We start from the raw sequence: 26681 nt of genomic DNA, 5'->3' as shown, positions 1-26681 counted from the left end.
TTCATCTGCTATTCATGAAGAACTAAAAAGCTGTAGGTATCCTTTTTTCTAGTTTTTTGAGACAAGTTACTTGGCATAATTCTAAGAGATGAAATCAAGGTGAATTACCATAAGCACTATTATTATTTTTCATAAGTTTATTGCATTTGTGAGAGGGAAGGGTATGAATGAGAACTTTGATTTAAAATAATGCTGAGCGGGGGGCGGTGCCAAGATGGCTGAATAGGAACAGCTCCAGTCTACAGCTCCCAGTGTGAGCAACGCAGAAGATGGGTGATTTCTGCATTTCCAACTGAGATACCAGGTTCATCTCACTGGGGCTTGTCGGACAGCGGGTGCAGGACAGTGGGTGCAGTGCACCGAGCATGAGCTGAAGCAGGGCGAGGCATCGCCTCACCTGGGAAGCACAAGGGGTCAGGGAATTCCCTTTCCTAGCCAAGCAAAGCTGTGACAGAAGGCACCTGGAAAATTGGGTCACTCCCACCCTAATACTGTGCTTTTCCAACGGTCTTAGCAAATGGCACACCAGGAGATTATATCTCGCGCCTGGCTCGGAGGGTCCCACGCCCACGGAGCCTCGCTCATTGCTAGCACAGCAGCCTGAGATCGAACTACAAGGCAGCAGCCAGGCTGGGGGAGGGGCGTCCACCGTTGCTGAGGCTTGAGTAGGTAAACAAAGCGGCCCGGAAGCTGAAACTGGGTGGAGCCCACCGCAGCTCAAGGAGGCCTGCCTGCCTCTATAGACTCCACCTCTGGGGGCAGGCCATAGCCGAACAAAAGGCAGCAGAAACCTCTGCAGACTTAAATGTCCCTGTCTGACAGCTTTGAAGAGAGTAGTGGTTCTCCCAGAACGGAGTTTGAGACCTGAGAATGGACAGACTGCCTCCTCAAGTGGGTCCCTGACCCCCGAGTAGCCTAACTGGGAGGCACCCCCCAGTAGGAGCAGACTGACACCTCACACGGCCGGGTACCCCTCTGAGACAAAACTTCCAGAGGAACGATCAGACAGCAACATTTGCTGTTCAGCAATATTCGCTGTTCTGCAGCCTCCGCTGCTGATACCCAGGCAAACAGAGTCTGGGAGTGGACCTCCAGCAAACTCCAACAGACCTGCAGCTGAGGGTCCTGACTGTTAGAAGGAAAACTAACAAACAGAAAGGACATCTACACCAAAACCCCATCTGTACATCACCATCATCAAAGACCAAAGGTAGATAAAACCACAAAGATGGAGAAAAAACAGAGCAGAAAAACTGAAAATTCTAAAAATCAGAGCATCTCTCCTCCTCCAAAGGAACGCAGCTCCTCACCAGCAATGGAACAAAGCTGGAAGGAGAATGACTTTGATGAGCTGAGAGAGGAAGGCTTCAGACGATCAAACTTCTCCGAGCTAAAGGAGGAAGTTCGAACCCATTGCAAAGAAGTTAAAAACCTTGAAAAAAGATTAGACGAATGGCTAACTAGAATAACCAATGCAGAGAAGTCCTTAAAGGAGCTGATGGAGCTGAAAACCATGGCATGAGAACTACGTGACAAATGCACACACTTCAGTAGCCAATTCGATCACCTGGAGGAAGGGGTATCAGTGATTGAAGATCAAATGAATGAAATGAAGCGAGAAGTTTAGAGAAAAAAGAATAAAAAGAAATGAACAAAACCTCCAAGAAATATGGGACTATGTGAAAAGACCAAATCTATGACTGATTGGTGCACCTGAAAGTGATGGGGAGAATGGAACCAAGTTGGAAAACACTCTGCAGGATATTATCCAGGAGAACTTCCCCAATCTAGCAAGGCAGGCCAACATTAAAATTCAGGAAGTACAGAGAATGCCACAAAGATACTCCTCGAGAAGAGCAACTCCAAGACACATAATTGTCAGATTCACCAAAGTTGAAATGAAGGAAAAAATGTTAAGGGCAGCCAGAGAGAAAGGTCGGGTTACCCACAAAGGGAAGCCCATCAGACTAACAGCGGATCTCTGGGCAGAAACTCTACAAGCCAGAAGAGAGTGGGGGCCAATATTCAACATTCTTAAAGAGAAGAATTTTCAACCCAGAATTTCATATCCAGCCAAACTAAGCTTCATAAGTGAAGGAGAAATAAAATCCTTTACAGACAAGCAAATGCTGAGAGATTTTGTCACCACCAGGCCTGCCCTAAAAGAACTCCTGAAGGAAGCACTAAACATGGAAAGGAACAACCGGTACCAACCACTGCAAAAACATGCCAAATTGTAAAGACCATCAATGCTAGGAAGAAACTGCATCAACTAACGAGCAAAATAACCAGCTAACATCATAATGACAGGATCAAATTCACACATAATAATATTAACCTTAAATGTAAGTGGGCTAAATGCTCCAATTAAAAGACACAGACTGGCAAATTGGATAAAGAGTCAAGACCCATCAGTGTGCTGTATTCAGGAAACCCATCTCATGTGCAGAGACACACATAGGCTCAAAATAAAGGGATGGAGAAAGATCTACCAAGCAAATGGAAAACAAAAAAAGGCAGGAGTTGCAATCCTAGTCTCTGATAAAACGGACTTTAAACCACCAAAGATCAAAAGAGACAAAGAAGGCCATTACATAATGGTAAAGGGATCAATTCAATAAGAAGAACTAACTATCCTAAATATCTATGCACCCAATAAAGGAGCACCCAGATTCATAAAGCAAGTCCTTAGAGACCCACAAAGAGACTTCGACTCCCACACAATAATAATGGGAGACTTTAACACCCCACTGTCAACATTAGACAGATCCATGAGACAGAAAGTTAACAAGGATATCCAGGAACTGAACTCAGCTCTGCATCAAGCCAACCTAATAGACATCTACAGAACTCTCCACCCCAAATCAATAGAATATACATTCTTCTCAGCACCACACCGCACTTACTCCAAAATTGACCACATAGTTGGAAGTAAAGCACTCCTCAGCAAATGTAAAATAACAGAAATTATAACAAACTGTCTCTCAGACCATAGTGCCATCAAACTAGAACTCAGGATTAAGAAACTCACTCAAAACTGCTCAACTACATGGAAACCGAACAACCTGCTCCTGAATGACTAGTGGGTACATAACGAAGGCAGAAATAAAGTTGTTCTTTGAAACCAACGAGAACAAAGACACAACATACCAGAATCTCTGGGACACATTTAAAGCAGTGTGTAGAGGGAAATTTATAGCACTAAATGCCCACAAGAGAAAGCAGGAAAGATCTAAAATTGACACCCTAACATCACAATTAAAAGAACTAGAGAAGCAAGAGCAAACACATTCAGAAGCTAGCAGAAGGCAAAAAATAACTAAGATCAGAGCAGAACTAAAGGAGATAGAGACACAAAAAACCCTTCAAAAAATCAATGAAGCCAGGAGCTGGTTTTTTGAAAAGATCAACAAAATTGATAGATCTCTAGCAAGACTAATAAGAAAAGAGAGAAGAATCAAGTGGATGCAATAAAAAATGATAAAGGGGATATCACCACTGATTCCATAGAAGTACAAACTACCATCAGAGAATACTACAAACACCTCTACACAAATAAACTAGAAAATCTAGAAGAAATGGATAAATTCCTGGACACATACACCCACCCAAGACTAAACCAGGAAGAAGTTGAATCTCTGAATAGACCAGTAACAGGCTCTGAAATGGAGGCAATAATTAATAGCTTACCAACCAAAAAAAGTCCAGGACCAGATGGAATCACAGCTGAATTCTGTCAGAGGTACAAAGAGGAGCTGGTACCATTCCTTCTGAAACTATTCCAATCAATAGAAAAAGAGGGAATCCTCCCTAACTCATTTTATGAGGCCAGCACCATCCTGATACCAAAGCCTGGCAGAGACACAACAAAAAGAATTTTACACCAATATCCCTGATGAACATTGATGCAAAAATCCTCAATAAAATACTGGCAAACCGAATCCAGCAGCACATCAAAAAGCTTATCCACCATGATCAAGTGGGCTTCATCCCTGTGATGCAAGGCTGATTCAACATATGCAAATCAATAAACGTAATCTAGCATATAAACAGAACCAAAGTCAAAAACCACATGATTATCTCAATAGATGCAGAAAAGGCCTTTGACAAAATTCAACAGCCCTTCATGCTAAAAACTCAACAAATTCAGTATTGTTGGGATGTATCTCAAAATAATGAGCTATTTATGACAAACCCACAGCCAATATCATACTGAATGGGCAAACACTGGAAGCATTCCCTTTGAAAACTGGCACAAGACAGGGATGCCCTCTCTCACCACTCCTGTTCAACATAGTGTTGGAAGTTCTGGCCAGGGCAATCAGGCAGGAGAAAGAAATAAAGGGTATTCAATTAGAACAAGAGGAAGTCAAATTGTCCCTGTTTGCAGATGACATGATTGTATATCTAGAAAACCCCATCGTCTCAGCCTAAAATCTCCTTAAGCTGATCAGCAACTTCAGCAAAGTCTCAGGATACAAAATCAATGTGCAAAAATCACAAGCATTCTTATACATCAATAACAGACAAACAGCAAAATAATGAGTGAAATCCCATTCACAATTGCTTCAAAGAAAATAAAATACCTAGGAATCCAACTTACAAGGGATGTGAAGGACCTCTTCAAGGAGAACTACAAACCACTGCTCAATAAAATAAAAGAGGATACAAACAAATGGAATAACATTCCATGCTCATGGATAGGAAATCGTGAAAATGGCCATACTGCCCAAGGTGATTTATAGATTCAATGCCATCCCCATCAAGCTACCAATGACTTTCTTCACAGAATTGGAAAAAACTACTTTAAAGTTCATTTGGAACCAAAAAAGAGCCCGCATTGCCAAGTCAATCCTAAGCCAAAAGAACAAAGCTGGAGGCATCACGCTACCTGACCTCAAACTATACTACAAAGCTACAGTAACCAAAACAGCATGGTACTGGTACCAAAACAGAGATATAGACCAATGGAACAGAACAGAGCCCTCAGAAATAATACCACACATCTACAACTATCTGATCTTTGACAAACCTGACAAAAACGAGAAATGGGGAAAGGATTCCCTATTCAACAAATGGTGCTGGGAAAACTGGCTAACCATGTGTAGAAAGCTGAAACTGGATCCCTTCCTTACACCTTACACAAAAATTAATTCAAGATGGGTTAAAGACTTAAATGTTAGACCTAAAACCATAAAAACCCTAGAAGAAGACCTAGGGAATACCATTCAGGACATAGGTATGGGCAAGGACTTCATGTCTCAAACACCAAAAGCAATGGCAACAAAAGCCAAAATTGACAAATGGGATCCAATTAAACTAAAGAGCTTCTGCACAGCAAAAGAAACTACCATCAGAGTGAACAGGCAACCTACAGAATGGGAGAAAATTTTTGCAATCTACTCATCTGACAAAGGTCTAATATCCAGAATCTACAAAGAACTCAAAGAAATTTACAAGAAAAAAACAACCCCATCAACAAGTGGGCGAAGGATATGAACAGACACTTCTCAAAAGAAGACATTTATGCAGCCACCAGACACATGAAAAAATGCTCATCATCACTGGCCATCAGAGAAATGCAAATCAAAACCACAATAAGATACCATCTCACACCAGTTAGAATGGCGATCGTTAAAAAGTCAGGAAACAACAGGTGCTGGAGAGGATGTGGAGAAATAGGAGCACTTTTACACTGTTGGTGGGAGTGTAAACTAGTTCAACCACTGCGGAACACAGTGTGGCGATTCCTCAGGGATCTAGAACTAGAAATACCATTTGACCCAGCCATCCCATTACTGGGTATATACCCAAAGGATTATAAATCATGCTGCTATAAAGACACATGCACACATATGTTTATTGTGGCACTATTCACAATAGCAAAGACTTGGAACTAACCCAAATGTCCAACAATGATAGACTGGATTAAGAAAATGTGGCATATATACACCATGGAATACTATGCAGCCATAAAAAAGGATGAGTTCATGTGCTTTGTAGGGATATGGATGAGCTGGAAACCATCATTCTCAGCAAACTATCACAAGGACAAAAAAACCAAACACTGCATGTTCTCACTTATAGGTGGGAATTGAACAATGAGAACACTTGGACACAGGAAGGGGAACATCACACACCAGGGCCTGTTTTGGGGTGGGGGGAGGGGGGAGGGATAGCATTAGGAGATATACCTAATGTAAATGATGAGTTAATGGGTGCAGCACAACAACATGGCACATGTGTACATATGTAACAAACCTGCACGTTGTGCACATGTACCCTAGAACTTAAAGTATAATAAAAAAATATATATATAAAATAATGCTGAGCATTTGCCATGCACATCCCCACATTCTCAGTAGAGAGGGTAGGGGTTACCTTTATATATGGATGAGGAAACTGAGGCTGAGAGGTTACTGCTGGCTTGAGGACACTCACTTTGCTGGTAGGTGGAAGAGATGGGTTGGAACCCTGAGTGTCTGAGCCCCAGCTCCATCATGACCCCTCTGCAGATGATGTGCTTGGCAGAGCAACCTTCTGAAGGCCAGAGCCCCTGATCGACTCTGCACATGGGCGCTTGATGATGCCAACATCTGCTTTCAGTTACTCAGCCAGGTTCCAGGAGAGACAAGAATAAGGATACGGCCGTTTTCAAACTGCCCTTGCCAGGTTGGCAAGATGGCTATTTCTGTGTCCTGCCCTGACCTGATATTTGGGACTCAAAAAGAGAGACAAATTTAGATTTAAAATCATGCCTATGTGACAATGATATTAGTTTGTTAATATATAATATTTACTAAGCAAAGCTATTTCTTACCTAAATATGAGGAATAATAGAAAAAAGAATAATCTATTTCTAAAAAGTATAGAATGGGCATTAGAAGAGTTTTATTTTTTCTGGATTAAAAATGTTGGGGTTAATAGATTATTGCTGTTATGATGTATTCTCTCATTTATTTTTAAAAATAACAGAGTTTATAATCACCACTCTTAACCTTAATCGTAAAAGATGTGAATCATCAATAAGTTTTAAAATAAAATAAGAACACTGTGGATTGTTGAGAATGTGGTATGGGTCTGACCCCTAGTGTACTGGGTCAGCAGGGGCAGCTGTGTTGGGGTCGGCGGTCCCTCCTGTCACAGACTCTCCCTGTCTCTGTCTGGCCTGAGCGGCTTGATGGTTCCTGATTCCCGCCCCTCCCACCGGGCTCCGTTGCCTTCTAGGATTGTGGTCATTTTCACCTACTGGGTGCTCCTTCCCTTGATGTTTTTGTTTCCGAGGCCAACTTTCCTCACTAGGAAGTAATCTTGTCTTGGTGTAAAATGAAGCTATTGTCACCACGGTGTTTCATTTTATCAGCTGGCACATATTAAGTGTTGTGTGTGTTGGGAGCCTTCCAACTACTTTTTTTTCTTTTTCTTTTTTCGAGACAGAGTCTCTCTCTGTCGCTCAGGCTGGAGTGCAGTGGTGCAGTCTCAGCTCACTGCAACCTTCACCTCCTGAGTTTAAGCGATTCTCCTGCCTCAGCCTCCTGGGTAGGTGGGACTACAGGCACGGGCCACCATACCCAGCTAATTGTATTTTTAGTAGAGACGGGGTTTCACCGTACTGGCCAGGCTGGTCTTGAACTCCTGACCTCCAGTGATCTGCCTGCCTCGACCTCCCAAAGTGCTTGTATTACAAGTGTGAGCCACTGCGCTCCACCCAATGACTTTTTTTGTTTGAGACGCAGTCTCGCTCGGGTCACCCAGGCTGGAGTGCAACGGTGTGATCTCGGCTCACCGCAACCTCTGCCTCCCAGGTTCAAGTGATTCTCCTGCCTCAGCCTCCTGAGTAGCTAGGATTACAGGCATGCACCACCACGCCCAACTAAGTTTTTATTTTTAGTAGAGATGGGGTTTCTCCATGTTGGTCAGGCTGATCTCGAACTCCTGACCTCAGGTGATCCGCTTGCCTCGGCCTTCCAAAGTGCTGGGATTCCAGGCGTGAGCCACCGTGCCTGGCCCCAACGACTTTTTAACATAGATCATCCCTAAGCTTCACAGCATCTTACAGGCTCTGTGCTGTCTCTGTTTTATGTGCAAGGAAGCCAAGCCCTGATTTGAACTCAATTTCTCAAACTCCAAGCCCTCCACTCTGCCACGCTGTCCTTGTGGAGCTCCTGAGCAGGACGGGCAGAGGTGGCATGCAGGTGACCAGGTGTGGGGCTGTTGGCCCCCTCATTCATGTCCTTGCTTCCTCTCCAGGTGGCAGATATGCTGTTGGAGCTCTGTGTCACCGAGTTGGAGGATGTGGCCACAGACTCGCAGAGCGGCCGCCTCTCTTCTCAGCCTGTGGTGGTGGAGAGTAGCCACCCTTACACCGACGACACCTCCACCAGTGGCACAGTGAAGATACCAGGTACAGGGGCTGGCCCCAGCGGGGAGCTGCAGCCTTTCCCACCTTCAGAATGATGTGATTCTGTAATTGCTTCAGTAGAAACAACCATCTCCATTTTATAAAAAGAAGTTACAGAATTGCTTTAGAATCACTTTTCTCCCCTTTTCTAACAAACTACTTTTGCACAATAAATCATGATATAGAAAGTCACACAAAGTAAATGTTTAGCTTCATGATAATCAGGCAGATGCCCTAGTCATCATGACCCAAGTCTAGACCTAACCTGTGGCAAATTCTGGAAGCCCTCAGTGTATCCCCTGATGTTCCTCTGAGTGATGCTGTCCTGATATTGATCCATCACTGACTTGCATTTCTGGACAGCTTCTGTTACCCACGTGTATATCTTTTGTTTTTAACAACTCAACAAAAATTATTAAGAAGAAAATTGTTGAGGCCCCGGCCTTTGATCTGGCGGGCTTCACTGCAGCCTGGATCTGCTGACTGGACACGTGTGCTGCTGTTCAGTGTGTTCCTCAGGCCCGTCCTTCTGCAAGGTGCTGCCCGATTCGGAGGCCCATAAGTTCCGCCCCTTTTGCCAGCTCCTTAGTGGTTGTGACTCAGCCTCAGCAGGCACCTCCTGCCTGCCTGTCTTTGCTTTGTGACATCAGCAGTCCCTGAGGCTTATTAGCACCCGAGGCTATTGGCCCATGAGGGGCTACAAATGGTGCTATTCTAGTGGAATCATTTCTTGCTTATTTGTTAGCTGGAATACTTTCCTGTAAAGAGGCATTTCCCTTCATCCTGTAGTTAGTTGTTCAAGGTGCTGTTTGCCTGAGAAAGACAAGATAAAAGCTTGATTCTTTCTTCCATTTACCAGAGAATGAATTGGTTTCCTATTATTTCTTGAAGGTGACCTGTTTTTTTTTTTAATGTTATTATGAACTCATGGCTTGGAACATATGTGATTGTTTTACTCTATTGTTATTATCTTTGTTGAAGCTGAGATTATCCTGTTTCTAGACAGTGGCAGCCTCTTCAGTGTAGCTCCCGAAGTGATTCTGGTAGTCTTCAGTAGCGTCCAGGCAGTCTACACAAGGTGTCCTCGGTTTTTTGTAGGTTGCCACTCTTCACCTGGGGTCTGCCCTGGATTCTTTTGAGTTCATACTGATACTTAAAAATTTTTTCCTTTTATTTATTTTTTATATTTTATTTATGTATTTATTTGTTTAGAGATAGGATCTTGCTCTGTCATCCAGGCTGGAGTGCAGTAGTGCAATTATAGCTCACTGTAGCCTCGAATTCCTGGGCTCAAGTGATCCTCCTGCCTCAGCCTCCTGAGTAGCTAGGAGTACAGACACATGCCACCTTGCCTGGCTAATATGCTGATTCCTTCTACTCAAATTCAAAAGTATGGGGTCTGTACTTCTTCTGTTACATCTGTCTCTCCTTTCTTCCATATCAAATCCTGGTTCCAAGAGTGTTTGATAAAATATCTCATGATTTTTCATTTGCTTTACATAACCACATTTCATACACGACAGACTTAGGATATAATTTCAATACTGCCAACATCAGTATAATTACTGAAATTCTTAAAAATCTTAGAATATGCCCTAATTTTCTCGAATTTATTAAAATAATTATACTGCATCTACAAGAGCATAATAGCTGTTACATACTATACTTTCTTTCAGTCTTCAAGTCTTAGTTTTACTGACTGGTCCTCGTGGGGTCTGAAGTGGACTCTAGTGAATTCCTCATTAGTCCCTGAGATCAGACTTGTCCATGAGAGTTTTTGTCCTTCAAATTTGAAAGGTAGTTTTTCTGGATATTAAAGCCTTGGATCATGTCTTTTTCCTCTGTGAAAGTATGATAATGATAACATCTTTTCCCCTTAGAAGTCACGTGTGTTTTTTCAGTAATTTTACTAGAATATACGTTCGTGTGGCCATTCTCGGTGATGTTCTCGGTTAGTTAGAAGCCGCGTGTGTTTTTTCTGTAATTTCACTAGAATGTCTGTGTGGCCGTTGTTGGTGATGTTCTTGGTTAGGAGCCGTGTGTGTTTTTTTGGTAATTTCACTAGAATGTACGTTCGTGTGGCCATTCTCGGTGATGTTCTTGGTTAGAAGCCGCGTGTGTTTTTTTCGGTGATTTCACTAGAGTATACGTTCATGTGGCTGTTCTCGGTGATATTCTCGGTTAGAAGCTGCGTGTGTTTTTTTGGTAATTTCACTAGAATGTACGTTCGTGTGGCCGTTGTCGGTGATGTTCTCGGTTAAGCCAGTGTGTGTTTTTCGGTAATTTTACTAGAATGTGGGTTCATTCGGCTGTTCTCGGTGATGTTCTCTGTTAGAAGCCGCGTGTTTTTTCAGTAATTTTACTAGAATATACATTCGTGTGGCCGTCCTCAGTGATGTTCTCGGTTAGAAGCCGCGTGTGTTTCTTCGGTAATTTTACTAGAACGTACGTTCATGTGGCCATTCTCGGTGATGTTCTCGGTTAGCAGCCGCGTGCGTTTTTTTCGTGATTTCACTAGAATGTGCATTTGTGCGGCTATTCTCAGTGATGTTCTCGGTTAGGAGCCGTGTGTGTTTTTCGGTAATTTTACTAGAATGTGCGTTTGTGTGGCCGTTCTAGGTGATGTTCTTGGTTAGAAGTCACGTGTGTTTTTTTGGTAATTTTACTAGAATGTGTGTTCGTGTGGCCGTTCTCGGTGATGTTCTCGGTTAGGAGCCGTGTGTGTTTTTTGGTAATTTTACTAGAATGTGCGTTCGTGTGGCTGTTCTTGGTGATGCTCTTGGTTAGAAGTCGCATGTGTTTTTTTGGTAATTTTACTAGAATGTGCGTTCGTGTGGCTGTTCTCGGCGATGTTCTTGGTTAGAAGTCACGTGTGTTTTTTCGGTGATTTTACTAGAATATACATTGGTGTGACCGTTCTTGGTTGGAAGTCGCGTGTGTTTTTTCGGTAATTTTACTAGAACGTGCGTTCATGTGGCCATTCTAAGTGATGTTCTCGGTTAGAAGTTGCATGTATTTTTTCGGTAATTTTACTAGAATGTACGTTCGTGCAGCCGTTCTCGGTGATGTTCTCGGTTAGGAGCCGCGTGTGTTTTTTTGGTAATTTTACTAGAACGTATGTTGGTGTGGCCATTCTCGGTGACGTTCTCGGTTAGGAGCCGCGTGTGTTTTTTTGGTAATGTTACTGGAATGTATGTTGGTGTGGCCGTTCTCGGTGACGTTCTCGGTTAGGAGCCGCATGTGTTTTTTTGGTAATTTTACTAGAATGTATGTTGGTGTGGCCGTTCTCGGTGACGTTCTCGGTTAGGAGCCGCGTGTGTTTTTTTGGTAATTTTACTAGAATGTATGTTGGTGTGGCCATTTTCGGTGATGTTCTCAGGAGCTGCGTGTGTTTTTTCGGTAATTTTACTAGAACACGTGTTCGTGTGGCCATTTTCGGTGATGTTTTCAGTTAGGAGCTGCGTGTATTTTTCGGTAATTTTTCTAGAATGTGCGTTCGTGTGGCCATTCTTGGTGATGTTCTCGGTTAGAAGTCGCGTGTGTTTTTTTGGTAATATTACTAGATTATACGTTCGTGTGGCTGTTCTTGGTGATGTTCTCGGTTAGGAGTCTCGTTTGTTTTTTCGGTAATTTTACTAGAATGTACGTTTGTGCGGCCGTTCTCGGTGATGTTCTCGGTTAGGAGCCGTGTGTGTTTTTTTGGTAATTTTACTAGAATGTATGTTGGTGTGGCCGTTCTCGGTGATGTTTCAGTTAGGAGTTGTGTGTTTTTTCAGTAATTTTACTAGAATATACGTTTGTGTGGCCGTTCTCAGTGATGTTCTCAGTTAGAAGTTGCGTGTGTTTTATCAGTAGTTTTACTAGAATGTACGTTCGTGTGGCCGTTCTCGGTGATGCTCTCGGTTAGAAGCCGCATGTGTTTCTTCGGTAGTTTTACTAGAATGCGCGTTCATGCAGCCGTTCTCGGTGATGTTCTCGGTTAGAAGCCGCATGTGTTTCTTCGGTAGTGTTACTAGAATGTGCGTTCGTGTGGCCGTTCTCGGTTAGCAGCCGCATGTGTTTTTTTGGTGATTTCACCAGAATGTACGTTCATGCGGCCGTTCTCGGTGATGTTCTCGGGTAAGGGGTGCTCCTTTAGTCTGTCGTCCCAAGTCTGTTTTGCAGGACGTTCTCTTGAATTACAGTCTGCAGTGTTTGTTCTGTAGCCTTGCTTAGCAGTCTTTTCTGGGGACACTTGGTAACTCTCCATGCATTGCATAGTTCATGCCTTTTAGAGTTAATGTTGGTTACTTTCTCTTTCAAGTACTTTCTACCTCTGTTTCTTTTTTTAAAATTTCCTCCTTTTTTCCTATTTGTCTTAAGGTAGCATCTGCTGTGTTTATTTGATTTTACACTCTGTTTTAGTCTCCATTGGAATGTAGTTTTATTGTAATTCTGTCTTCAGCTTTATAAAATGTTTTGGTTTTTGTAAGTCTGATTTATGTGGTTCTTTCATGTCTTGTATCATTTTTCTAATTTCACTCAATTTGTTTTGAAATGTTCAGGGTTGATGTGTTTTGTGGGTGTATCTTTCTGGCCTGCTTTTATTGCCTGTGGGGATGTTATTTTGTTCCTTATTCTCACTTTTCTTTTTTTTTTTTTTGGAGACACAGTCTTGCTCTGTCACCCAGGCTGAAGTGCAGTGGTGTGATTCTGACTCACTGCAGCCTCGACCTCCCAGGCTCAAGCCGTCCTTCCCCATCAGCCTCCCGAGAAGCTAGGACTACAGGCTTGTGCTGCCACACTTGGCTAACTTATTTTTATTTTTTGTGGAGATGAGTCTCTCTGTGTTGCCCAATCTTGTCTCAAACTCCTGGGCTCAAGCAGTCCTCCCAGCTGGGCCTCCCAAAGTGTTGAGATCGTTACAGGTGTGAGCCACTGTACCCAGCCTATTCCCTTTTTCTAACAATAACTTTTTATTGTATTTGGTCTTATACTTTTATCTCACTCACTTTTTTTGTGAAATCATTTTTCTTCAACTTTTAGAATGAGGTGTGAGATTCAGAAAAGCTTTGTCACTTTGTCGCCCAGGTTGGAGTATGGTAGCACGATCGTGGCTCACTACAGCCCCAAACTCTGGGCTCAAGCGATCCCCCTTCCTTAGCCTCCTGAGTAACTGGGACTATAGGCCGTGCCCAGCTAATTTTTAAAATTTTATATTTTAAAATATATAATATATAATAAAATATATAGCCTGTTGTCCAGGCCTGTCTTTAACTCCTGAGCTCAAACAAGCTGCCTGCCTCGGCCTCCCGAAGTGCTAAGATTACAGGAGTGTACCACTACATCTGGCCCAGAAAAGCATTTTTAAACTTGAAGCTATTACTTCATGATAGAAATTTAAAGAACAAAGGGTATTTCTAGTCAGCCTTTTCCTAGACGAAAATCTTGTGACCCTTTTTCTCTTCTGTTTCTCTCTCGCTTTATATCTAGTCCACCAGCAAATCCTGTTTTCTCTGCTTTTAAAATATATTCCAAATTCAACCATTTTTCCCTCACTCTAGACATTCTGGGCTAGAGCACCGCGGGGTCTCACCCAGTTTATCATCCTAGCAACCACATACTAGCTGCCTCCCTGTGTTCCTGCTTCCACTCCCCACCTCCTGCGGCCCCCCCAGAATCAGCTCCCAACAGAGCATGCAGAGATAGTATCTTAAAACCAGTCCAAGCCTGTCAACCCTGTAACCGTAAGAGAGGACCTGAGCCCCTGCCCCACGTCCCTCCTTCTTCCCTCCTTCCTCCCCTGCCTCTTTCCCGGCCTCTCAGTGCCATCCTCTGCTAGATCTTCCAGCCTGAAGGAAAACTCTTGTGCCTCTGCTCGCACACCTCTCACACCAGATGTGCGGGTTCTCCACACCAAGCGGTTCTCCAGTTCTCTGGACACGCCAGAAGTTGAGGTGCTCCTCACCTCCAATGCCGCTCACTCCCCAGGTGACCCACAGCTGCCATCTGACTTGGCTGCACACTGGGCATTCCCACAGCCCCTGGTCAGTGTGATGTTCGCTGTAAAGCTTGATCAGGGGAGTGTGGTTGCAGTAGGAAAGTCTGCCCGGGAGTGACCGCACAAAACAAATTGGCCAAGTGGAAGTGTTTTCTGGCCTTCCAGTCCACAGACATGATCTTCAGTGGGGATGAGCTGGGGAAAGAGTGGTCAGTCTGAGATGCTTGTCTTTGAGGCCAGTTCTTTCTGACTTTCTGCTATTCATTAGCTGTTAAATGTGGTTTTAGTTTCACTGTTTCTACTTTGGGTGCTGATCTGGAGTGGTTGCTATGTTTTGTGCTTGCCTGTCCTTCAGGTGCAGAAGGACTCAGGGTAGAATTTGACCGGCAGTGCTCCACAGAGAGGCGCCACGACCCTCTCACAGTCATGGACGGCGTCAACAGGATCGTCTCCGTGCGGTCAGGTAAGGACAGGAGGTTGAGCAGGGCATGATCTACCCACCTGTGTCTCCGTAGACACAACCCTTCACATTTGTAGGACAGAATGCTGCCTTCGTATTCTCATGGAAGTCTTAAGGAAGGGACAATATGCTATTCAGCTGTGAAACACAGTGGGTTTGCTTGCCTCTTTCCCATACTTTTAAATACAGTAATTATCTGTGATGTATGTACCACATCCCTGTCGGATGGGCCCTGCCTCATCAGACAGTTGCAGAAGGTGCTGGAGACGTGTGAGGTGCCAGAGCTCGTGTAAGGTCATGGTTGGCATACTGCAGAGCTTCTTCAAAAGGTTTGTTTCTTACTGGCTGCAGTGAGGGCATGGCCATGTGTGGAGTGACTTCTGTATGTAGGTGGAGGCAGCCACATGTCCGGCTTATCTCTGCTGCTGGGCTCCATGAGGCCAGCTGGGACAGGTCAGGACCGTCTTTGGGTGCTTGTGAAATGGTCTTTTACCAAGTATTTTAGAATTGGCAGTGCAGGGGTGTGTGTATGCACCTTTTAAGACCTCTTTATCCTTCATCTCGAGTGTTTCCTGTAAAGGGCCAGGTAATGCAGCCTCTGTCATAACAACATGCAGACTGGATGCCAGAGAATGGGCGTGGCTGTGTCCCAGGAAAACTTTATTCACACAGTGTTACTTAGTTAAGTAAAGCTTTGCATGAAATGGTATGGTCCCAGTGGGCGTGGGTTTTTCTGGTGCTTTGACAGATGTCTGCCAGTGTAGTTTTCAGTAGTGTTGTTGGATGTGAGTTTTTCTGCATCCAGTGGAAAGCCTTTATGGGCCATCCCTGAGCTGCTGGCAGATGGTCCTTCTGAAGCAGAAATCTGGCAGGGTTCTCTTGGCCTTCTAAGATCCTGTAGATCTTAGGTGTAGTACACCACCGCTCCTGTCCACAGCAGCCAGGCCCTCTGCTCCCTCGAGGGCGGCCTACTCTGGGCCGTGCTGAACCACACACATAGGCCTTTTGTTGGGAGAGCTAGGGTTCTTCCTTCTGCTGCCTGGTCACCTGGTTGTATCAGAGCTTTCCCGGGAAATGTCCCCATGGCCCCTGGCCTGGTGTGTGCTGGACACCTGGAGGCCACTCACTGTATCCTGGCTGGTGGGGTCATTTCCCCACTGGGTGGTGGCTTCTGCCAGGGCAGTGTCTGCCCGCCTGCCGCAGTTTCCTGGGTACCTGGTACAGGGGCTGAATGCGTGTTTGCTGAAGAATGGTATGTATTAAAATGTGAATCCCAAGAGTGTTGTGTCACTGTGCACTTCGGCTTGGGAGAGCTTGGATTGGAGGAACTTGCTCTTCACACGTGACGGAAATCATTCTGCTTTGCGTCTAAGAAGGTTTGTGTTGATTGGATGATGGAGTGAAGCTAACCCCGGGGTGCGCTTTCCTCCCGCAGGCCGAGAGTGGTCCGACTGGTCCAGCGAGCTGCGCATCCCAGGGGATGAGTTAAAGTGGAAGTTCATCAGCGATGGGTCTGTGAATGGCTGGGGCTGGCGCTTCACCGTCTATCCCATCATGCCAGCTGCTGGTAAGGAAGGGGCTTATGGCGATCAAGGTTAGATGACTGGCTGTGGATTGTTTCTGGAGCAACAGGGACACGTGCACATGTCCACGTAGTGCCTGACAGCCTGCCTTCTGCTGTGTTGGAGTGAGTGCTCTCACAGGCCCTGCTGAGGCGTGGAACAGAACACAGATCTGTCCCAGCCATCCAGCTGTCAGGCTCACACTCCTCCTCACCTGGTGTGGAAGGAGTTGTTGCTGGTGCAGTTCTTAGGCTTTTGGTTTACAGTGGAAATGTGAGTGTGAAGAGCGAGTCTCACCGACTCGCAGTGGCATGCGTGGGCACACCAGCTGTTGCCTTCTGGTGGGTGGGGCTGGGTGGAGCCACCCTTGTTCGTTGGCGGCTTCTTATGGGGTGGTACCTAGCTTGTGAAACCCGGGGATGTTTACAGTGTTCATTCACAGGCCCTAAAGAACTCCTCTCTGACCGCTGCGTCCTCTCCTGTCCATCCATGGACTTGGTGACGTGTCTGTTAGACTTCCGACTCAACCTTGCCTCTAACAGAAGCATCGTCCCTCGCCTTGCGGCCTCGCTGGCAGCTTGTGCACAGCTGAGTGCCCTAGGTAAATGCCACCATTACAGTTACATCTGTCTTCCTGCTTGGAAGAAACCATCAGACTTCTGATACTTTCTCTCTGCTCATTTCAGCTGCCAGTCACAGAATGTGGGCCCTTCAGAGACTGAGGAAGCTGCTTACAACTGAATTTGGGCAGTCAATTAACATAAATAGGCTGCTTGGAGAAAATGATGGGGAAACAAGAGCTTTGGTATGGAGCATTCTAGTACAATTTCTAGATTTGTGACCCTTGGGGAATAAAATGTTGCTTTAGTAGTCTAAACCTCTAAATCGTTGAGAGGAGTTGGGGAGTTTCACATAAGAATAAGGAGGCCTTGGACCGGGCGCGGTGGCTCATGCGTGTAATGCCACCACTTTGGGAGGCTGAGGTGGGCGGATCACGAGGTCAGGAGATCGAGACCATCCTGGCTAACACGGTGAAATCCTGACTCTACTAAAAATACAAAAAATTAGATGGGCGTGGTGGTGGGCACCTGTAGTCCCAGCTACTTGGGAGGCTGAGGCAGGAGAATCGCTTGAACCTGGGACGTGGAGGTTGGAGTGAGCTGAGATCCCGCCACTACACTCCAGCCTGGTGACAGAGCGAGACTCCATCTCAAAAAAAATAAATAAATGAATAAAAATAAGGAGGCCTTTGTCCCATCCAGACTTCTCGTATGTTGCAGTGTATACTGAGTTCAAGTTGGACTTTGATATTCTGAAAATCTGTCTCGACAGCTGTGAACATAGGATTGTGTTGATTGGACTTTACAATGAGGCTAACTGATTGGCCTCCCCTTTATTTTGCTGACTAAAGTAGTCCCTTTTGATCCTACCCATGGGACGAGACAGGCAGCGTTTGTGGGCCAGAGAGGGGCTATTTCTCTGGAAGCGGATGTACTGAAATCAAGACCAAACATTCTGAGATGAGTCTTCAAACTCCTCTTTTTTATTTCAGTGTTTATGTTCTTTTAGCTTTTTTCCTACTTGAGAATTTTGATAAGCTTTTTTTTTTTAGTTTTTTTAGAAGAGTTAGTACCAACATAATAAAACATTTGACGGTAGAAACAAATGGTCAGCCTCCCCGGCACCTGGATTCCTGCGATAGAATACTGTTCTGTTGTTTCTTAGAGTTTTACAGGTAGTGCTCTTGCTGCTTTGGTGAAAGGTCTTCCAGAAGCTTTGCAAAGGCAGTTTGAATATGAAGATCCTATTGTGAGGGGTGGCAAACAGCTGCTCCACAGCCCATTCTTTAAGGTAATGTTTCACTTCTTTTTTAAAGTGACAATAGAGCTATTTGACTGAAAGAGCCACTGAGAGTTGTCATGTGCAGTGTGTGTGTTTTAGGCCTCTGAGGGCAGCTGTAGGTATTGCTGAAGTCAAATATGAAAAAATCTCAAGAAATGATCGTGTAATCTAAACCCTTAAACCATAAGCCTGTAACCGTTAGCATGCCTTGAGATGCACAGGTGTTCTTGTCACTTGATGCAGGCAACAAGTGTTGCAGCAGTTGTGTGGCACGTGGCTAGGAACTGTCAGAGGTCGCCACATCACTGATGGTGGCCGTATCCTTGCTGTGCCCATGGCCGTCATCCTGGAATAGGAGGTCCTGCGGAAGGAGCCACAGAAACCTTGGCCTGTTCACTGCATTTCTGAGTTTCCCTGAGTTTGTCATTTTTGGTGCCTGCAGGTACTGGTAGCTCTTGCTTGTGACCTGGAGCTGGACACTCTGCCTTGCTGTGCCGAGACGCACAAGTGGGCCTGGTTCCGGAGGTACTGCATGGCCTCCCGTGTTGCTGTGGCCCTTGACAAAAGAACACCGTTGCCCCGTCTGTTTCTTGATGAGGTATTGCATGATATTTTGGAATCACTTTTGGGATGCAAAAACATTATTTAGCTATAGTGTAACAAGATGCCAATATTACGAGACACAGAAAAATTTCGCTTGCCAAGGAATATCAAAGAAAATAACACATAGGTGAAAATGAGTGAACTGACACTGTGAATTTCAGTTAAAGTTTATTTTTAGTAAACTACAGGTAGAATGATACTGTCTAGACATTTCTAATATGTTAGACTTGATGCAGTCATTATTGGTTTTGCCCATGAACCATAACATTGCAATGTTGCTCTTCCCTCATATTTTTAGGCAGGGATTCCTTCTGTCTTTCCTTAGTATTTATCTATTTTGTTTGAGATAAGTGTTTGATTTGTAACATCATAATAATTTTGTTTAGGTGGCTAAGAAAATTCGTGAATTAATGGCAGACAGCGAAAACATGGATGTTCTGCATGAGAGCCATGACATTTTTAAAAGAGAGCAAGACGAACAACTTGTGCAGTGGATGAACAGGTTATTATATTAGAAACAAGCAGTAATGTCGATCGTGAGTGTGAGAGGCTGTGTGCATTGTTCTTGCCCATGGCAAATGCTCACTTGATGTGTATTGTAGGCGACCAGATGACTGGACTCTCTCTGCTGGTGGCAGTGGAACAATTTATGGATGGGGACATAATCACAGGGGCCAGCTCGGGGGCATTGAAGGCGCAAAAGTCAAAGTTCCCACTCCCTGTGAAGCCCTTGCAACTCTCAGACCCGTGCAGTTAATCGGAGGGGAACAGACCCTCTTTGCTGTGACGGCTGATGGGAAGGTAAGAGCTCTTTTTCTATGTCACAAGGTCATTGAGCCTGAGGCAGTTGTGGCTAAAGGTGCTGTGTGGTTCTTAGCACGTGCAAGGATCTGTACTAAAACGTTTCTCAGGATTAATGATACTGTGGTATGCAGGAAGCAGCTAGAGTTCTAAGATATTTTTGTATAATCTTTAAATTAAAAAAAAAAAAAGTTTAAGACAGTTTTGCTCTTGTTGCCCAGGCTGGAGTGCAATGGCGTGGTCTCGGCTCACTGCAACCTCCACCTCCTGAGTTCAAGTGATTCTCCTGCCTCAACCTCCCAAGTAGCTGGGATTATAGGCGCCCGCCACCACACCTGGCTAACTTTTGTATTTTTAGTAGAGACAGGTTTTCACCATGTCGGCCAGGCTGGTCTCGAACTCCTGACCTCAGGTGATCCACCCACCTCGGCCTTCCAAAGTGCTGGGATTACAGGCATGAGCCACCACGCCCGGCCAATTTATTTTTATTTTTATTTTGAAAATACGTCATGTATGCAAAAGTATTACAATTTTTATTTGCACATCACTCGTTAGATGTATTTCTTGTTTGCTATTGTAAATACTATCTTTTAAAAAATGTATTGCTGCTGACCCGGTGCGGTGGCTCATGCCTGTAATCCCAGCAATTTGGGAGCCCAAGGTGGGTGGATCACCTGATGTCAGGAGTTCGAGACCAGCCTGGCCAACATAGGAAAACCCTGTCTCTACGAAAAATACAAAAATAAGCCAGGCTCAGTGACATGTGCCTGTAATCCCAGCTACTCGGGAGGCTGAGGCAGGAGAATCACTGGAACCCGGGAGATGGAGGTTGCAGTGAGCCGAGATCACACCACTGCACTCCAGCCTGGGTGACGGAGTGAGATTCTGTCTCCGCCCCCAAAAAAAGATTGCCACTGATATATAGAAATATTGGATGTTTATATATTGACTTTATGTTTGGTGACCTACTTGACTGTCTCCATTCTAGTATATGTGAAGATTTCTTGTATCTTCTTTATAGAGTGCCGTAGTCTCTAAATGAATGCTGTTCCTTTCTGTCTAGCCTACCTCTCTTTTATTTTTCCCGTTTGTGTGGGAGAATGGGAGCTCATGGTGCAGGCTGGGGTTGCGGTGTGATTCTGGGTAGGAGTGGGTGGAGGCTCCTGCCTTGATCAAGACTGGAGCGGGTGCAGATGGAGCGTTCCCAGGCTTCCAGTGGGGTTTGAGTAGAAGCCCTTGATCAGATTAGGCATGTTTCCTTCTGTTTCTAGTCAACAGTGGACACTGATTTTTGTTCAACACTCTTTCTACGTGTTTTGAAATGTTCTTTCATAGATGTTTTCTTCTTCTTCTTTTTTTTTTTTGAGACAGAGTCTCACTCTGTCGCCCAGGCTGGAGTGCAGTGGCACAGTCTCGGCTCACTACAACCTCTGCCTCCTGGGTTCAAGCGATTCTCCTACCTCAGCCTCCCGAGTAGCTGGGACAACAGGCGCCCGCCACCACGCCTGGCTAATCTTTTTTTTTTTTTTTTTTTTAGTAGAGATGGGGTTTCGCCATATTGGCCAGGCTGGTCTTGAACTCCTGACCTTGTGATCCGACCACCTTGGCCTCCCAAAGTGCTGGGATTACAGGCATGAGCTACCGTGCCCGGCCAATGTTTTCTAATGGATTAGTATAGCCAGTTGGATTAATTGGTTTTCTCATATTAAACAAACTTACATTCTTTGGATAGATCCAGTTTGGTCAGGATATGTATCTGGCTTGTGTTTGTGATAGTTTTGTTTTAGATTTTTGGGAGATCCTATTCATGAGTGAGATACTCTCATGTAATGTACTGTCTCACACACATTTATTATTTCATAGTTTCTCTGGGTCAGGACTCTGGATGCAGCATAGCTCCGTCCTCCAGCTCAGAATCTCAGCAGGCTGCAGTCATCTTGAGGCTGTCCGAGCAAGGATTCAGTCCCTCATGGAACTTTGGGCTGAGGCCTCAGTCCCTTATGAGCTGTTGGCAGAGCCTCCCCTCACTCAGCCCTTTGCCACGTGTCCATAGAGCGTCTCACAGGGTGGCAGCTGACTCTGTCAGCGAGAGCAAGGGAGGCGCAGGAGGGAGCACCAGCAAGAGAGAGTGGAGGAGACAGAGCCCCGGTCCTGTGTAACTGAATCACAGAAGTGACCACACTCCAGTTCTTGCCCTATTCTGCTCATCAGAAGCAGGTCATTAAGTCCAGCCCACACTCAGGGAGAGGGAGCTGTAGGCATGCTTGGAGATATGCAGGCTTGGTTCTAAATCAACACAATAAAGCAAGTGTCTTCGCAAAGCATGTCACACAAATTTCTTGGTTTCCCAGTGGATATAAAAGTACTATAGTCTATTAAGTCACATCTTTAGACTCCACTTCTAATTCTAGTTCTCTTGCTGTTTCCACCACATCTGAGGTCACTTCTTCCACTCGTGTTGAATCCCTCAAGGTCATCTGTGAGGGTTGGAATCCACTTCTTCCAAATCCCTGTTAATGTTGATATTTTCACCTCCTCCCATGAATCACAAATGTTCTTAATGGCATTTATAATGGTGCTGGCTTTCCAGAAGGTTTTCAATTTAGTTTGTCCACATCCGTTAGAGGAATCACTGTCTATGGCAGCTATAGCCTTATGAAATGTATTTCTTAAATAACAAGATTTGAAAGTCGAAATTACTCCTTGATCCATGTGGCTGCAGAAAAAATGATGTGTTAGCCGGCATGAAAACAACTTTAATCTCTTTGTACATGTTCATCAGAGCTCTTGGGCGACCAGGTACATTGTCAATGAGCAGTAATGTTTTGAAAGAAATCTTTTTTTCTGAGCAGTAGGCCTCAATAGTGGGCTTAAAATATTCAGTGAACCATGCTGTAAACAAATGTGCTGACTTCCAGGTTTTGTTCTATTTCTGGAGCACAGTCAGAGTGGAGTTAGCATAATTCTTAAGGGCCCTAAGATTTTCAGAATGGTCAATGAGCATTGACTTCAATGAATTCAACTAATATAGTCATCAGCTGCATTAGCCCCTAACAAAATATTTGAAGCTTTGAAGGCAAACATTGACTTCTCTCTAGCTATGAAAGTCCTAGCTGGCATCTTCTTCCAATAGACGGTTGTTCCATCTACGTTGAAAGCCTGTTGTTTAGCGTAGCCACCTTCATCACTGATCTTGGCTAGATCTTCTGGGTAACTTGCTGCAGCTTCTACATCAGCACTTGCTACTTTCCCTTGCACTTTTATGTTATGAAGACGGCGTCTTTCCTTAAACCTCAGGAACCAATCTCTGTTACCTTCAGACTTTCCTTCAGCAGCCTTCTCACCTCTGTTAGCCTTCGTGGAATTGAAGACAGTTAGCAAGCTCTGGATTAGCTTTGGCTTAAGGGAATATTGTATCCGTTTTGATCTTCTGTCTATGCCAAACATTCTCTATATCAGCAATAAGACTGTTTTGCATTCTCATCATTTGTGTGTTTACAAGAATTGCACTTAATTGTGCTTCAAGAACTTTTTCTTGGGTAACTGGTGCAAGAGGCCTAGCATTCAGCCTGTCTTGGCTTTCAGTGTGCCTTACTCACTAATCTTAATCATTTCTAGCTTTTGACTTAAAGTGAGAAATATGCAACTCTTCCTTTCACTTGAACTCTTAGAGGCCACTGTAGGGTTATTAAGTGGCCTTATTTCAATAAGTTGTGTCTCAGGGACATAATAGGGAGGTCTGAGGAGAGGGAGAGAGATGGGAGAACAGCTGGTTGGCGGAGCAATCAGAACATACACATTTATCGTTTAAGTTCACCGTCTTCTATGGGTGTGGTTTGTGGTGCCTCAAAACAAGTACAACAGTAACATCAAACATTACTGATCACAGATCATCATAACAGATAAAATAATGAAAAAGTTTAAAATATTTCAAGAATTATCAAAACGTGACATAGCGACGGTAAGTCAGCACATGCTTTTGGGAAAATGGCGCCGATAGACTTGATCAGTGTAGGGTTGCCACAGACCTTCAGTTTATAAAAAACAGTATCTGCGAGGTACAGTAAAGCAAGGCACAGTCAAATGGGGTGTGCCTGTATACAGGAGCACACATATTTAGAAGCAGGGATCATTGTGAACCGTATCAGAGGCAGACTGCTAGCACAGGTGTTGAAGTGGTCTAGCCTCATAAAAAGGTTTGAAATATAGCCCCTCTGTGTCAATTCTCAGGAGAATTCTGTTTCTTTTCATTGTTTCTCTGGTTATTTTAACATAGGTACTTAAAAACCTAAAGTTAATTAGTATTTTCCCCTCCTCCCAATCAGTGACCCCTTGTTACCCAGTGTTTGGGTTCTAACCTATTCCCCTCTGCCATAGACATTATTGTTGTTGTTTTGGTTGTTTTATATGGACTGTGGTTTTTTTTTTTGAGTTAGCTAAATGTTGCACATCTTTGCTTACTATCATTTCTTACCATCATTTGTTATGTCTCAGATCTTATAAAATCATTTCCTTCTCCTTTAGCATATCTTTCTCAATTTACTTTAGTGAAATTCTTTCGTTGGTTAATTCTGATTGTTTGTTTCAAAATATCTTCATTTTGTCCTTTTTCTAGGGTGGGGGTTGGTAAACACTTTCTGTAAAGGGCACAATGGTATTTTCAGCTTTGGGCCATATAGTCTCTGTTGCGACTACAAAAGCAGCCCTGGACATATTATAAATGAGTGGGTGTGGCCGTGTTCCCGTAAAGCTTCATTTACAGAAAGAAATGATGGGCCTGATTTGGCACATGGGCCATAATTTGCCAACTCCTGTTGTAGTTATGAATTCTCAGGAGCAAGCCTCTGTCTCCCTGTCAGTGCTGAGGCTGGGAAGGGCAGCTTTCTGTGGTGTTCTTCTTATTCACAGTCACTGAGGGGCAACCCTTTGGAGCCCCACTTTCTATAGGAAGTCCTGGGAGGCATGCTGCATTACCCTGCACCCTGTGCACCAGAGAGCCTCACACCCTCCCCGCCAGAAGCTGGCTTTGGGGGTGGGGCTCATTTATCCACCTGAGTTTGGGTTTCACTTCCTGCATTGGCCCTTGTGGCTTCCTTATATTATGTCAGTGCAGCAGCACGTTTGAAAGATGTCTAAAACAGCATGGAACAGCATTTAAGTTTTTATCAGGAGGGATGTTTGCCTTCATTTGGAAAACGGCAGTCTGATTTAGTGTGTGTATGTTTTTAAATTAATCATTTTTTAAAATTAATCATAGATGTTTTGTGTCCTAAAACATTCCCACTTAGATTAAAAAAAAAAAAGGTGTTTTTTCCCTTGTGGTTTATATGCTGCCCTGCTGAAATATTAAAATGTATTTGTGTTCTTTTATGGGTATGTTTTGTGGCTGTTATTGTCAGAGTTTTGCATATAGTAGATAATTAAATTGTTTTTTATTTTTCTTGGTGTTAATTGTAGTTGGTATTCTACACAAAAATGGAAGAGCTTCCAGCAAGAAGACCTTATTTTCACAATATGTTTTCTGAATTTGGAATTTCTAATAGTCATGTTTTTATTTCATTTCTAGAACTTTGATAGAGCATGTATAAAGGCATAAACTTATATTCCTGAGATTTTTAACTTTAAATTTTATTTCTATGTGGTAAAAATGTCTAAAGCATGGATTAGGTTTATGAATTAGTAAATTTAGGGGATATTGAGATTAAAAACTGATGTTACTATTGCTTTTTCTTTTCTTAGCTGTATGCCACTGGGTATGGTGCAGGTGGCAGACTAGGCATTGGAGGGACAGAGTCGGTGTCCACCCCAACATTGCTTGAATCCATTCAGCATGTGTTTATTAAGAAAGTAGCTGTGAACTCTGGAGGAAAGCACTGCCTTGCCCTGTCTTCAGAAGGAGAAGTTTACTCTTGGGGTGAGGCAGAAGATGGGAAGTTGGGGCATGGCAACAGAAGGTATGATGTGAAAAAATTATTTCAACATTCTATTTGTCTTTGTTTTTGTTTGTTTTAATGCTGCTACAATCTATTGGCGCTTTGTTTTTCAAGGCAACATTTACAATACTCTCAAACTAAATAATGTTAATGACTCATTTGGCAGAAATAGTTTTATGTTCCAATACGAAGGCTTACCCGTATGATTCCTCTGTTGAGAGGGAAAAAAAAGTCAATTCTGTGTTTTTGATGACAAGTACTAAGTAAGTGTTTTTTTGTCCTTCTCCCTTAAATCATCCACTGAATCACGTTTGGCATTTTGTGTAACGTGCGTGATACTAAAACTGCAAATACAGAGGAAATAGCAGGGGTGAGGAAGAAAGAACGCACAATTGACACCATTTGTAAAAGAATGAACCAAACTCACAAGTATTAAAAAATTAATGAGAACTACCAGCCAGATTGGAGTAACAGGGGCCTTCTTATCCTAGGAATAACTAAACCACCATATAAAATATATTAAACAGGTCCGGCGTGGTGGCTCACGCCTGTAATCCCAGCACTTTGGGAAGCTGAGGTGGGCAGATTGCTTGAACTCAGGAGTTCAAGACTAGCCTGGGCAATATGATGAAACCCCATTTCTACAAAAAATAGAAAAAAATTAGCCAGATGTGGTGACACACACCTGTAGTCCCAGCTTCTCGGGAGGTGGAGGTTGCAGTGAGCCGAGATTGCGCCACTGCACTCCAGCCTGGGGAACAGAGCGAGACTCCATCTCAAAAAAAAAAAAAAAAAGAGGAAAAAATAATTTGGCAAACTCCAACATCCATTTCTGATAAAAACTCTGAGTAGTCTAGGAGTAAGAGGTCTCTTCCTTTACCTGATCAAGGGCATCTCTGTTAACCTAGAGCTTAGGTTGTAGTTAATGGCAACAGACCAAAAGCTTTCCCCCTGAGTTGAGGATCAAGGCAAGGATGTCTGCTATCACCACTTCTCTTCAACATTGTGCAACAGGTTTAGTAAGTGCGGTACAGCAGTGCAAAGAAATAAAAGGCATCTAGATTGTAAAGAGAATTAAAACTGTCTTTTTTGCAGAAAA

At 43.9% G+C, this 26681-nt stretch overlaps 1 protein-coding gene across 10 annotated transcripts in view; it reads left to right on the top strand.

The window, feature by feature from the left end:
• Positions 1-26681, top strand: part of HERC2 (HECT and RLD domain containing E3 ubiquitin protein ligase 2) — a 211140-nt gene that overhangs the window by 161099 nt on the left and 23360 nt on the right. For all 10 annotated transcript variants that reach the window (XM_006720727.4, XM_006720726.4, NM_004667.6 and 7 more), the window contains 10 exons: positions 8251-8404; positions 14737-14844; positions 16277-16408; positions 16846-17004; positions 17090-17208; positions 18129-18254; positions 18688-18843; positions 19235-19350; positions 19451-19649; positions 25389-25603. In XM_006720727.4, coding sequence (XP_006720790.1) covers positions 8251-8404; positions 14737-14844; positions 16277-16408; positions 16846-17004; positions 17090-17208; positions 18129-18254; positions 18688-18843; positions 19235-19350; positions 19451-19649; positions 25389-25603 — 1484 coding nt within the window. The remainder of the gene's footprint in view (positions 1-8250; positions 8405-14736; positions 14845-16276; positions 16409-16845; positions 17005-17089; positions 17209-18128; positions 18255-18687; positions 18844-19234; positions 19351-19450; positions 19650-25388; positions 25604-26681) is intronic.

Source organism: Homo sapiens, chromosome 15, assembly GCF_000001405.40.
Source record: "Homo sapiens chromosome 15, GRCh38.p14 Primary Assembly".
NCBI classification, from domain to species: domain Eukaryota; kingdom Metazoa; phylum Chordata; class Mammalia; order Primates; family Hominidae; genus Homo; species Homo sapiens.
The sequence above is the reverse complement of the archived record's forward strand: the minus strand, read 5'-3'. Positions and strand labels throughout refer to the sequence as shown.